Genomic DNA, 15,093 nt, shown 5'->3' with positions numbered 1-15,093 from the left:
AGGCCTTTACACTTGCAGTTCCTCCTGTCAGTGATGCCCAATTCCCCAAGATGATTGCCAAGTGTTTTACCAATGTTGTTAGAAAAGTAAAACACTTGAAAATAGATTTTCCAAGAAGCCTCTAATATGGTCTTGATTTTGTGTCAGCCTAGGCTAACTTGCATATTTGTGTCTTAGTTTTAATAAATCTTTTTTAATTTTTAAAAATTAAAAATAGATCAAAGCTTATAGAATAAGGGTATAAAGAAAATGTTTGGTGTTTTTTTTTTGTTTTTTTTTGTTTTTTTGAGACGGAGTCTCAGACTGTTGCCCAGGCTGGACTGCAGTGGCGTGATCTCGGCTCACTGCAAGCTCTGTCTCCCGGGTTCACGCCATTCTCCTGCCTCAGCCTCCCGAGTAGCTGGGACTACAGGCGCCTGCCACCACGCCCAGCTAATTTTTTGTATTTTTAGTAGAGACGGGGTTTCACTGTGTTAGCCAGGATGGTCTCGATCTCCTGACCTTGTGATCCGCCCACCTCAGCCTCGCAAAGTGCTGGGATTACAGGCGTGAGCCACCGCACCCGGCCTAAAGAAAATATTTTTGTACAGCAGTACAATATGTTTGTGTTTTAAGCTGTGATTACCAGAGTCAAAAAGTTTAAAAACATTTAAAAGTTTATAAAGTCAAAATGAAATAGTAAGCTAGAATTTATTATTGAAGAAATAAAATTTTTTTATAAACTTAGTGTAGCTTAAGTGCACAGTGTTTACAAAGTCTACAGCAGTGTACAGGCATGTCCTGGGCCTTCACATTCACTCACTGCCTCACCCAGAGTAACTTCCAGTCTCACAAGCTCCATTTATGATAAGTCTCCTAGACATACCATTTTTTATCTTTTTACTGTACCTTTTCTATGTTTAGATATGTTCAGATTCTCAGATATCACTGTTTTAATTGCCTGCAATATTCAGTATAGTAACATGTGGTACAGGTTTGTAGCCTAGGAGCAATGGGCTAGACCACATAACCTAGGTGTATAGCAAGCTCTACCATCTAGGTTTGTGTAACTGCACTCTATGGTATCCACACAACAAAACTGCCGCACAGCACATTTCTCAGAATGTATTCCTATGGTTAAGCGTCGCGTGTTTGTATTATAGCAAATATACAGCACATGCTCTGTGGGGAGAAGAAGCAGTAGATGAGTTTCTGTGGCCAGCATTATTAATTGGCTAAGCAAAACCACATTTCCAAATTTCTGTGCCCTAGCTTGTATCTACTATAAGGCATATAGGAACAAAAACTTCATTTCTGTGGCTTCCTTGAAACAAATGGGGCCTACACATTTCTGGCCATTGATGCATAAAAAGAAGTAGGCCTGTGTCTCATCTTTTTTTTTCTTTTTTCTTTTTCCTTCTGCCGTAACAGTGGATATCAGGTCTTGAGGTATGGCAAGTACCTGAGGCTCATTAGACAACAGCAAGATGAAAGCCAATAAACTGATGATGGCTCTATCAGTCAGGATAAGCTAAGTTACACTGGGATAACAAATGACCCAAAAATCTCAGTTGCTTATAATAACAAAGTTTTATGTGCTGTTCACAATTCATGACCATCGTGTCTTGGCTACAGCTTCTCACCATGTTTTCCTCACTTAGGGGCCCAGTTTGACAAATCAGGCTTTATTTGGAATATGGATGGTCTCATGGCAGAAGTAAAAGAGAAATTATGGTGAGCCAAGTGCTTGCTCTTACAGGTTTTGCCTAGGTGTCACTTCCACTCAAATTTCATTGGGCAAAGCAAGTCAGATGGCCAAGCCCAATAGAACCAAAATAGAGAAATACAATTCTTTCCAGGGCAGGGCCAGGGAAAATTTTTGAACAGTCATATAAGCTATCACTGTCCAAGCTTCAATTCAAAATTATTTAGTTAGTAAACTATCCTTTCTGCACACAAAATATACTTAATCCCTTCCTATGAAAAGCCAAGTCAAAGTCTCATTTAATTATAGCTTCAGGGCTGATGTTGACAATTTTATGATATTATCTCGTCAGGTTGAATATGACTTGTCTTGCTCCAGAAACTCATGAACTAACGAGACTAGGTGTCTGCTTCCCCTACACACCCATGCACACCCAATGTGTCATGCTAGGACACAGAAAAGATAATTGCAGACAGAATTGCACAGGAGTTTGTAGTTCAAAGAAATCTGAGATCATGTGGGTAGCTATTTCAGTCTTCCTCCTATCTCCGCATATGTGATAATCCCTAATTAATCTGTGGCTGTGCATGCCATGAGTAATTCCCCTAGGATATTATTTTTCACAGGTCTTGGCTCCATGCTCTGGCCAGTCCTTCCTTTTCCAATATCTCCTTTGACCATATTTGAATAGTCCTTGCAGACTGGGCAGAATACTAGGCCCATTGCTGACAAAAAAAATTTTTTTAAAATACGACACCCCCCTCCCCCCACACACACAAGTGACATAACCCTTGATAAGTCACAGTCTCCTTTATCCAGGTTGGTAGTTCTGTGGTATTATGTCACTCAAAATCATAACCAGTTTCCTATACAAGTGCTTCTCCTTCCCTCCTTTCTCTCTCTCTCTCTCTCTCTCTCTCTGACATGGGTTACTTTGAGCCTACCAGGCTTCAATAGAAAAGCCATAACCTTTGCTTCATTATTTTTATGAATGGTTACCACCTTGATTTGATACTTGCACAAGACCAAGCTTTAAAAGGACTTTCTTACTTAAATCATTTCTCAGTTTTATCTTTAACTGTTGGGAGTTGAGAAATAGTATCTTTCAACTCAGTAAGTCTACAGTTTTTAGTTTCTCTCAATTTCCTTCATTCTGATTTTCAAACCAGCTAATTACTTTTTCAGATTATGTCTTGTTTTATTATACTTTGTGAAATATAGTCAATAGTAAATCACATGATTTACATTAACTATGCCAAGAACTTCACCAAAAATAATAAGCTCAATAGGGAAATTACCTATAAATTCATTTCTAAAGTTTTCTAAATGTTTCACCTATGCAAATTAAGTACTACTGCCCTTCTAAACTCTAATAACAGCTTCTTTTCTGCTCCTATCCCATCCCTGAAGCCAATGCCCCAAAAAAGGCGGTGCTTTGTTTTATTTTGTTTTTAATCTATGGCAACACCCTATGCTACGCCTTGCACTAATTTCTGTGTTGGTTAGGAAAGGAGAAGTTAGGCTGTGGTAAGAGATGAAGCCTTAATTAGTGGCATACAATGTAATTTTATTTCCTGCTTCAAGATACATGTCTAGCACAGGCCAGCAGCAGCTGTGATCCACATCATCTTCATGTTGGGACCAGGCTTATAGGCAGCTTCCATCTGAAACATTACAGCCAGTCTCATGGCACAGAAAAGAGAGAATATATGGAGAAACTTATGGCTGGAAACATGTTATTTCTAATTAAATTGAATTGATCAAAGTAAGTCACATGATCCAGATGGATATTAATGCAGCCAAGAAGTATGAAGAAGGCAGCAAGTATCTGTGAACAATAATATATTCTACCATGGGGTCGAGTAGAAAAATAAAAAAAAAAACTTGAGTCCCTCTGGCTTTATTGAACTGGTATACCAGATCTGAACTGCCTATAAATTGGGAAAAATAAAAATCTATTTGTTTAAGCCATTACCTGTATACAGTTCAAGAAGTAAGCAGTGTCTAATTTGATATCAAACTCACTTGTATTGAGTTTTATTTTCAATGACTTCATTTTTTTAGGTTTTGTCTCCTTGTAGGGAAAAGAAAAAGAGATCAGACTGTTATTGTGTCTATGTAGAAAAGGAAGACATAAGAAACTCCATTTTGACCTGTACCCTGAACAATTGCTTTGCCCTGAGATGCTGTTAATCTGTAACTTTGCCCCAACCTTGAGCTCACAAAAACGTGTTGTATGGAATCAAGGTTTAAGGGATCTAGGGCTGTGCAGGATGTGCCTTGTTAACAAAATGTTTACAGGCAGTATGCTTGGTAAAAGTCATCGCCATTCTCTATTCTCAATAAACCAGGGGCACAATGCACTGCGGAAAGCCGCAGGGACCTCTGCCTGGAAAGCTGGGTATTGTTCAAGGTTTCTCCCCATGTGATAGTCTGAAATATGGCCTCGTGGGATGAGAAAGACCTCACCGTCCCCCAGCCTGACACCTGTGAAGGGTCTGTGCTGAGGAGGATTAGTAAAAGAGGAAGGCCTCTTGCAGTTGAGATAAGAGGAAGGCATCTGTCTCCTGCCTGCCCCTGGGAATGGAATGTCTCGGTACAAAACACAATTGTACATTTGTTCAATTCTGAGATAGGAGAAAAACTGCCCCGTGGCGGGAGGCGAGACATGTTGGCAGCAATGCTGCTTTGTTATTCTTTACTCCACTGAGATGTTTGGGTGGAGAGAAGCATAAATCTGGCTTACGTGCACATCCAGGCATAGTGCCTTCCCTTGAACTTATTTGTGACACAGATTCCTTTGCTCACGTGTTTTCTTGCTGACCTTCTCCCCACTATCACCCTGCTCTCCTACCACATTCCTCTTGCTGAGACAGTGAAAACAGTAATCAATAAATACTGAGGAAACTCAGAGACCGGTGCCGGTGCAGGTCCTCCGTATGCTGAGCGCCGGTCTCCTGAGCCCACTGTTCTTTCTCTATACTTTGTCTGTGTGTCTTATTTCTTTTCTCAGTCTCTCGTCCCACCTGACGAGATATACCCACAGGTGTGGAGGGGCAGGCCATCCCTTCACTCCTCCCATTTTTTCCCTTTTCTTCTAGTCTTTATAAATAGTTTATTGGTGTTTTATATATCTATTTTCTTAGTTTCTGTAATTTCTTATGGTGTTTTATTATCTCAAGATCTGGAGTAGGATGTCCAATCTTTTTGTGTTCTCCTGATTCTTGCTCATATGGGATTGTTTCAGGTGTGTTGTGTAATTTCAGATTGTGAGCTCATATTTAATGAGTTTCACCTCAGCTAACCCTGCCATGGATTGAGAGATTGTTTCTCCAGAGAGGTTTTTTGTTTGCCTCTGTTCAGTAACACCAATCTGAGACCTTTTGTGTTCCTGACTGTCATAGACATAGTACTGATTTTTCATCATGAAACAAGACATTGGGGTTTAGGTTAAGGTATATTTGGCCCATGTATTAAGAATAATGTTATTCTTGTTTTACTAAGTGTTTTTTCATGTAAAATAAGTAACAAATATACACATATGCCCTTCTAGCAAATTTTGAGTTTTTTGAATTCACTTTTCTGAATCTTTTGGCTTGGAATTATAAATTCCATATTATAGATTTCCAAATGTCAATATATCCTAGGCATCTTAGTCAATTTGGGCTGCTATAACAGAATACCATAGACTGGATGGCTTAAACAGCAGAAATGTATTTCTCACAATTCTGAAGGCTGAGAAGTTCAAGATACTGCCAGACTCAGTATCTGATGAGGGCCCACTTCCCAATTTGTGGACAGCTGTCTTCTCCAACTCCAAAGAGTTGTATCCTCTAGTGGTGAACAACAGAGAAAGCATGCTCTCATGTCTTTTCTTATAAAGGCACTAATCTCATTCATGAGGAATCCAGCCTCATGATCTAATCATTTCCTAATCTCATCCCGTTGGTGGTTAGGATTTTAACATATGAATCTGAGGGAGACTCAAACATTCAGTCCATAACGGTAGGTTTCTTGGAAGAATATTTTTGGCTAAAATATACTTGAAGAATTTGTGCAGCTTTGGAGGTGTAGTGTTATTTGTTGGCTGATTTACTGACATCCTAGAGTCATATTCTCCAATCAGACAGTTGAGCTGAAGGCTGCAAGTTTACATGCCTCCTTTCATTGTTTCTAGTCCAACCAGCATTTAAGCCTAGCTCTTACATTGTGGAAATGGAAGCCATAAAATAAGATTTCCCCATGGATCTACCATGATCTACATATTTATTCTTCTTTCTCAGGAGCTGTGTTGTTGTCAGAATGCCAGAACAATTGCACTTTGCTTCTTTACCCTGAATGCCCTAACCCGGAAGAATGGCAATGTTGCTGCAGGAATGCACTGGGTTGATTACTCTGCTACCTGTAGGAGGTGCTAAAGTAGATCCACTTTGATACTGGCATCCTTTCTGCAGCCTTAAACATCATGAGTTTCTCTGTTGGTGATATTGTTGGTGAACTGCTTTGAGAGGCCCCTGTTATTACAATCAAAGATACTTTTTAGCATACTGTGAACTTATAAGAGTTGTGACAAAAGTACTGTTTTTTATTGTCAGTCTATCCCTGATGAATCAATCAGTAGATTTTTGGCTCTGTTTCCTACTTTGTGACTAAAAGAAGTTGCATTACATATTATAACTTAACCTCTAAAGTGGCATACCATCAATCCTGCCATATTGTTTTTCATTGGTTGCACAGGCCAACCCTGGTACAGGGTCAGAAGGGGATACGCAAGGTTGGAATAGCAGGAGGCAGGAATAATAGGGTGCCACCTTAGAAGCTAGCTATTATACTAGGACTACAATTAAGTCATCCAAAAGTATGATACTGTCTTATAGTTGACCATGGCTAAATTCTATGCTTAATAACTTGTCTAATATTCCACAACAAGGCATAGGGTGGTGATAAGAATTTGATTTTTTTTTGGAGGTTTCTGATTCTAATGGCAATAAAACTATCTTACTACTGAACTTAGGATGCTGCTCCTTCTTTTGGGATGTATTCATTCAACAATTTTTATAATTTATCCCATTACCCCCAGTTTATTAAGAGCTTTAAACTTTAAAGAGCCCATAGCTAGCATTTTTAATGCATTTTAGCAACTATTGTCAGGAATATAATATTTTATCAGTATTGACTTATTTAGTTAATTACCTTTATAAATGTTATACTGGAATCATGGACATCCTTGCACTTTGAAGAGGAACTCCATGAGGCTCCACCTGAAAATAAGCTGCCGAAGGATCATCAAAACTAAAGGTTTTTCAGAGCAACTAAGTTTTAAAAATAAGAGCTGTGATTAACTATGCTTTCCATATTTATATGCTATTTATGAATCATACCGTTAATTTGATAAGACAGGTAATATAGATAAGACATGATGCATTTTTGTTGAATTTATTATCTGAAGCTGCAGTAAACATTTAAGTTCACTAGATTGATAACGGCTAATACTATTTATTGTTAGGATTGCGAAATCTGCTCATGAGTGATCCTCTCTGTCTTTTAAGTCAAATATGTGAATTTACTTCCAAGTGTATCTTTAAAGACTTCTGAAGCAATCTTGTGCAATGGCACTTTTTCTACAAAGCCTATCAGGATCGTTGGCTGAACTTTACAGATGAAATATGGTAGAACCAATTTTTCATATAAGGGAGAAGCTCTAAAGAAACAACTAATAAATGCCCTGATGATGCCCACATGGGTTTGGTCCCTCAGACCTTTCAGCCACTGTATCAGAGTATTGTGAGTAACGGATTAGTTCCTTCTAGAAAGAGGCCAGATCATCTGTTTTGGTTACTTTGATGATTTGTTATTCTGTAAGTCTGAAATAGAAAGACCTGGAGCCTAAGAAAAGGCCTCCAACTTAGGGAAGTCTGTAACACAAAGACTGAGCAAGTTTTACTTTTTCTCTATGTTTTTTAGTGAAGGGAAAAGGTGTTCTTGCCATGATCTGGCCTTACCCACATTGGGAAACGTGTGAATTTCAGACCAAAGACCAAGTAAATGTTAAAGTATTCCTTTCTCTCTCATTGTCCTCCATACACGTATTTCGTTTGGAGGCCTCTCTCAAATGTATAGTTTGTAGATAGTTATGTGCTGGTATGTTTTTAACAACTGGCTCTAAGAGAAAAGTGAATACGTACATATACATACACAAAACATTTACACACCTATATCCATACATATATATGTTAATAAAATCCATGGTACCACTTGCAAGTTAAAGTAAAAACTTCCACTAACATTTCTGTATATAATTTGAGAAATAAATTTTAAGCTAAACTGCTTTCTTGATTTTCAGTTTAGACCTATAACTTCAGAGGAATTACTATTTCTTGTAAAAATTCTATCAATTTTTAGAATTTTATTGCCAACAATAGTGTCACAAAATCAGACTGCAAACTGCTTGATTACTATCTGTTTGATCAGAGAAGTCACTTACACATTAACTAATGGGTGCAGTCCTGACATAAAAGTTGGTTATGTGCTTTTATTTCTGGTTTCAAAAAAAAAATGAAGGAAAATGAAAGTATGTCAAAACTTTGCTCAGATGTCAATGGCATGAGCAACTACTTGCTGAATTGGATAATAGTTTTGGGGTACTGAAATAATATTTCCTTAATATTTCGGGCTATTCAGAATGTAATAGCTATAGATATGTCACACTTTTAAGTTTAATCTACATTATTAAGATTTTCTCCAAGATTTTCTTAAGTCTAGACAATCAATAATAAAGTCCTAATTTATAGTGGTTGTTGATTTCCATGGTGTAAGAATGTCCACCAGGCTGATTTCCAGCTACCCACACATTATTGAATGCAGAGTTGGGAAGAGATGCACAATAGCATACCATTAAATAGCATTTCTACAATTCAGATAGTATTGACATAAATAACCTCAAGAGCATGGAGAGTAAATACTAAAATGTACTGTATTTTCACCTTTCTAAATTTAATTTAACTGTAATTTTATATAATTTAATTTTTAATAATGGTGGTGTTTAACAACCAGTTTGCAAAATTCCTGCAATTTTAATAATTGGTCCTTGTGAGTAAGATTGCATTCATTTGAGCCAGCTCCAGCACAACCCTGGCTCTGTGACTGCTTATAGAGATTAAGATTAAGTGACTGCTTAAGAGAATCCCAACTTTCTGTCTCAAGCAAACTGGACAGGTGTGTTTCCTCATACTTCACCACTTCCCCATTGCAATCCATCCACACTGATGCTACCAGTTTCTTGATTACTCACACATCTGACCATTTCACTCCTGTACTCAGAAGCCTTGGATGTCTACTTTTTAAATTAGAGGTTCCAATCTCCTTAGCATGCCACACAAAGGTTTGTGTCAACTGACCTTAAGCTGCCATCCAGTCATATCTCCCCACTGTATGTCCATGTTCTCTAGTCATATTAGATTAGTCTTTATTACTCAAAGAAGCCATGGCTGGCCACACCCTAGTGCCTTCAATGACTCTCTTCTATCTCCCTGAATGGACCTTGCCCTTTTCTCTGCATGGAACTTAGTGACACCCTTTTCCAGATCTGACTCAAATATTCTTCTCCTTGGGAAACTTTTCTCACTCTCTTCTCCCTCCAGTCAGAACCACATGCTCAACCCAGTAATTCTCATGAACTTTTGTACATATATCTGCTATAGCACAGCTTTCTTTCACATTTATGATTTTCTGAAAGCATGTGGTTTATTTATTTATCCATTTTATTACACATAAACTCCTTGAAACATTACCTAATTTTCCCAGGCCAGGAGCAGTATCTGTCATATGTGCATGCTCAGTAACCCTTGTTTAATGTGGATGACATTAAGACCTTAACTATACTGGCATTGCAAGCATAAATCATGTACTTTCACAATATAGTTTTTCTTAATAAACTACTTAATTGAATTTCATATTATTCTGTTTAGGACTTCTGCATCTACTCTAGTAATTGAGATTAGCTTCAGGTTGTCTTGTTTTCCTTTCATCTAGTTTTGATTTCATGGTAACACTAACTCACAGAATTACATAGAAGGTGCTATATTTTCCTATGCTTTGAATTGGTTTATAAAACCTAGAAAGTTTTTTTTAAGTTTCTGGCAAAAATAGAAGGCATCTCATAAAGAATGTATCATCAGAGAACTATATTCAAAAGTCATTGGAAATAATCTGTTCTCTGTGTAACCATGTTACCAATACAAAATACAATTTGTTTCATTCGTTTCAGTTTGCTTTCAGTGTCAGAGTTTGCTTATTTTCCTTTTGATTTAATTTTATTTCTTGAGCTTGTAAATCATTAACATGGTTTAAATTGTTACTCCTTTTTACAAAAAAAAGTAGTACTCAATACACAGTTTTTTCACCTTTTTTATAAAAACTTCAAATATATCATGGAGATTTCTGTACCAACACATGGAGATGATTCTCATTCATTTCCATGGCTTCCCAGGTGTTCTACTGTGAGTCTGTTCTAGACATTACTCAACATTTCCCCTGTGGATAGACTTTAACATTATTTCCAATTTTTTATATTACAAATAATCTGCATGTACAACCTTGTACATCTTTGTTGTTTCATATATGTGGAGTTGTATTTTCAGGATAGATTGTCAGGAGAATTCCTGGGTCCATGGTTAAGGCATATGTTATTTTGTTAGGTTTTACTAAATTCCGCACAAAATGTATTAATTTGTGTTTTTATTTTATTATTATTTTTTGAGAAATGGGGTTTCCCTCTGTTGCCCAGTGCAGTGGCAGGATCATAGCTAACTGCAGCCTTGAACTCCTGGGCTCAAGGAATTCTCCCACCTCAGCCCCTTGAGTAGGTAGGACTACAGGTGTGTGCCACCACACCCGACTAAATTTCCCACCATACATATTATACCATTGTACACTTCCACCAGCAGCTGTATGAGTGTGCCTATTTCTCTTCCAGCCTTGGAGTCCCCAGTAACTAGGATTACAGGTGCATACCACCACACCCATCTGTTTTTTTTTTTTTTTGTATTGTTTTTTGTTTGTTTTTGTAAAACAGCATTTCAATATGTTGCCCAGGCTAGTCTTCATGGTCTCAAGCCATCCTCCCTCCTTGACCTCTCTAAATGATGGGATTATAGGCATGAGTCACTATGCCCCACTGGGTTTTGGTTTTATAACAAAAGTTTCCTGCCCAGGTTCCCAGTCAGGCCCATTTATGCAAATAAAGGATTTAAATTCACTTAGTTCTGATCAGTCAATGTAACTTAGTTCTGATTGGTCAATACAGTCAAGTCCTGATATGGCTGAACTCTGATTGGCCACCATAGCTGAACACTGATTGGTTGGCTTCCAAGCCCAGAAGTCTCTGTGCCGGATGATTCTTTTAACCTTGGGAGTGGTTGCCCAGAGGCTTTGGCTGTAGTTTTACCTTGGCACCAACAATGACCGGTTTGGCTTGATTATAGAAAGGGAAGTTTTGTGATACTTTTACAACATTTTTCTGAGAACACAGAGTATTTGAATGCTCCCTCACCCAGCTGTGGCCCTCTGGTTCTGTTTGAAGTTTGAGACCCTCAGTTTGTCACAGGGAGTCCATTTTGTCTGTCGGCCAAGGATATACTTCAACAATGTGATATTTTGTATACATTTTTTTTTTAGACAGAGTCTCACTCTGTCTTGGTGTGATCTCCACTCACTGCAACCTCTGCCTCCCAAGTTCAAAGGATTCTCTGCCTCAGCCACCCGACTAGCTGGGATTACAGGCATGCACAACCATGCTCGGCTAATTTTTTTTTTCTTTTTGTATTTTTGCTGTTGTTTTTGAGACAGAGTCTCGCTCTGTCGCCCAGACTGGAGTGCAGTGGAGTGATCTGGGCTCACGGCAACCTCTGCCTCCTGGGTCCAAGCGATTCTCCTGTCTCAGCCTCCTGAGTAGCTGGGATTATAGGCGGCCCATGACCACGCCCAGCTAATTTTTGTATCTTCAGTACAGACAGGGTTTCACCATGTTGGCCAAGCTGGTCTCAAACTCCTGACCTCAGGTGATCCACTCGCCTCGGCCTCCCAAAGTGCTGGGATTACCGGCGTGACCCGCTGCGCCCTTTTTTTTTTTTTTTTTTTTTGGATTCTTAGTAAAGACAGGGTTTTGCCATGTTGGCCAGGCTGATCTCAAACTCCTGACCTCAAGTGATACACCCACCTTAGCCTCCCAAAGTGCTGGGATTACAGGTGTGAGCCACAGTGCCCAGCCATATTTTGTATACTTTAACAATGTGATATTTTGATACATGCATTCAATGTGTAATCATTAAATCAGGGTAATTAGGATATCTATCGCCTCAAATGTTTATCATTTCTTTGTGTTGGGAACATTACAAATCTTCTCTTTTAGCTAATTTAAAATATATAATGTGATTATTAACTATACTCATCCTACTGTGCTATCAAATGGTAGAACTTATTCCTTTTATTTTCTACCTATTAACCAACCTTACTTCATTCCCTACCACCTCCTCCACCTTTCACAGTCTCTGGTAACCATAATTTTACCTTCTATCTCCATGAGATCAACTTTTTTAGCTCCCACATATGACTGAGAACATGTGATATTTTTCTTTCTATGCCTGTCTTATTTCACTTAACATCCTCCAGGTTCGCCCACGTTGCTGCTAATGACAGGATTTCCTTTTTTAAGGCTGAATAGTATTGCACTGTGCATATATAGCACATTTTTAAATTCCAGTCATCCATTGATGGACACTTAAGTTGATTCCATTTCTTGGCTATTGTGAGTAATGCTATAATTAATATGGAAGTGCAGATATTTTATATATTTTCTTAATGTGTTAGAATTGAGATTCATTTTTTGAACCATTTTATTTTCAGAATTATCTTTATAAAAATCTCAGAATAAACTCACTTTTCTGAGAAAGGAGCTCATCAGTAAAGTCAGTATCTTGCATTCCATATAGTCCATTCTTTGGTGGTTAAATTTTTTGCAACTTACATTTTATTGTAATTTTAAACCACCCCTACGGTTATTTATTCTTTTCCTAATGAAATTAGAAGTTCAGTCTAATAACTGTTGTAATACAACAAATAACTTATATTAATCAATAATTTCTAATATTTGAGAAACCCAATTTAAAAAAAAATGACTTTGTAGATGCTTGAAGTTATATCTTGTAAATATCCAGGTGTTTGGTTTGTTTTTTCCATTGTCTGGAGAATGTGGATCATATTTTAGTTTTCTAAGTAACTGAGGTTTAGGATCATTGTCTTCCCTTATGTCAGTCAGTTCCTGCTCCAGCCTGTGACTTTACATTTCTCTTCATAAAATTTTAATTTATTTTTATAATGTTATTTGATCCCAGATTTCTCCAGCTCTGGCTTTGTTTTCCCTAGTAACTAATGGATATGAGTTATACTGTTGCCTCATAGCTAAAAGGGGCTGGTTTTAACTTTTTGTTTTGAAATAATTATAGGTTCACAGGAAGGTGCAAGGCTAGTATACAGAGGTTCCCTGTATCCTTCATTAATTTTATCCCAGTGGCTTTATCTTAATTACTATAGCACAATTTCAAAACCAGGCATGTGACATTGGTACAATGTGTGAATAGTTCCATATAATTTTATCACGTGTGTAGATTTGTGTAACCATCACAATCAAAGTACAGAACAATTCTATCATCACAAAGATCTCCTTAATGTTACACCTTAATAACCACACCTCATGCTATCCCCTCAGCCTCACCATCCCAAACCCCTGGAAACCATTAAGTTATTCTCCATCCCTATGACTTTGTTTTGAAATGTTATATAAATGGAATCATATAGTATGTAATATTTTGATATTGGCTTTATTTTCAGTCAACATAATTTCCTAGAAGTCCATTCTACTCATTCTGTATACCAATAGCTTTTCTTTTTTGTTGCTGAGTAATATTTCATGGTATAAATATACCACAGTGTGTTTAAACATTCACTCATTTAAAGGACATCTTAATTGTTCTAAGGCTTACCTATTAAAAACAATCTGCTATGGATATATGCATACAGATTTTTGTGTGAGCATAACATTATAGACTGAATATTTATGTCCCTTAGTTCATATGTTTGTGTACCCTCAATTCACATGTTGAAATTCTAACTTCCAGTGTGATGGTATTAGGAGGTGGAGTTTTGGGAATGTAATTATGTCATAAGTGTAGAGCCCTCATGAATGAGATTAGTTCCCTTATGAGAAGCGAATCCAGAAAGCTTGCTTTCTATCTCTCTTCTCTCTCTGCCACGTGAGGATACAAGAAGGCTATCCACAAACCAAGAAGAGTTCCCTCACTAGAGATCAGATCTGCCAGCACCCGGATCTTAGACTTCCCAGATTTCAGAACTGTGAGAAATATTTTTGTTTGTTTGTTTGTTTAAGCTACTTGGTCTATAGTATTTTTGTTGTAGCAGCCCAAACTGACTAAAACACATACATTTTCATTTCTCTGGGATGAATGTTCCATAGTGGGAGTACTAGATCATGTTGTAAGTATATGTTTTGATTTTACAGAAACTGCAAAATGTTTCCCAAGGTGATCTGTACCATTTTATAGTTTTACCAGCAATGTATGGGAGATCAAGTTTTCCCATATTCATGCCATCATTTGATGTTGTCAATTTTTAAATTTTAGTTGCCCAGTAAGTGTGTAGTGATACCTCATCCTAGTCTTAATTTACACTTTCCTAATGAGCATTAATGTTAAACATCTCCTCATGTGCTTTTTTGCCCTTTGTGTGTCCTTGGCAGTGAAATGTTTCTTCATGAATATTGTTCATTTTTTACTGGGATAGTTTGGTTTTTTATTGTTGAGATTTGAGAATTCTTTATATTAACATAGATCAAGTATTTTACCATATATATGGTTTGCAAATATATTCTGTAAGTCTGCAGCCTGTCGTTTTTTTCTTCACGGAGACTTTCACAGAACAAAAGCTTTTACTTTTTTTTTCTTTTCTGGATTGTTTTGATTTCATGTCTAAAAACTTTTTGCATACATCTAGACTCAAAAGACTTTTCTCCTACATATTTTTTCTAAAAGGTTTATAGTTTTACATTTTTCATATTTAAATATATGATCTATATGAGTTAATTTTAGGCAAGGTGTAAGGTTTAAGTCAACATACATATTTTTGCCTATTGCTCTAGCATCAGCTATTGAAAACACTATCCTTCCTTCATTAAATTGTTTTTTAATCTTTGTCAAAACTCAGTTGGTCATACTTGTGTAGGACTATCTGTGTGTTCTCTCTTCTGTTCCATTGATCTATTCTGCCATTACTACACAGTGTTGATTACTATATTATATAATAAGTCCTGAATTTGGTTACAGTTATCCCTACCACTT

General features: G+C 37.3%; 1 protein-coding gene across 1 annotated transcript in view; it reads left to right on the top strand.

Annotated features, from left to right (window-relative positions):
- The window catches only part of SLC17A1 (solute carrier family 17 member 1), a 108,310-nt gene that overhangs the window by 78,814 nt on the left and 14,403 nt on the right, over positions 1-15,093 (top strand). The window lies entirely within an intron of this gene.

This window comes from Homo sapiens, chromosome 6 (genome assembly GCF_000001405.40).
Source record: "Homo sapiens chromosome 6, GRCh38.p14 Primary Assembly".
NCBI lineage: Eukaryota > Metazoa > Chordata > Mammalia > Primates > Hominidae > Homo > Homo sapiens.
The sequence above is the reverse complement of the archived record's forward strand: the minus strand, read 5'-3'. Positions and strand labels throughout refer to the sequence as shown.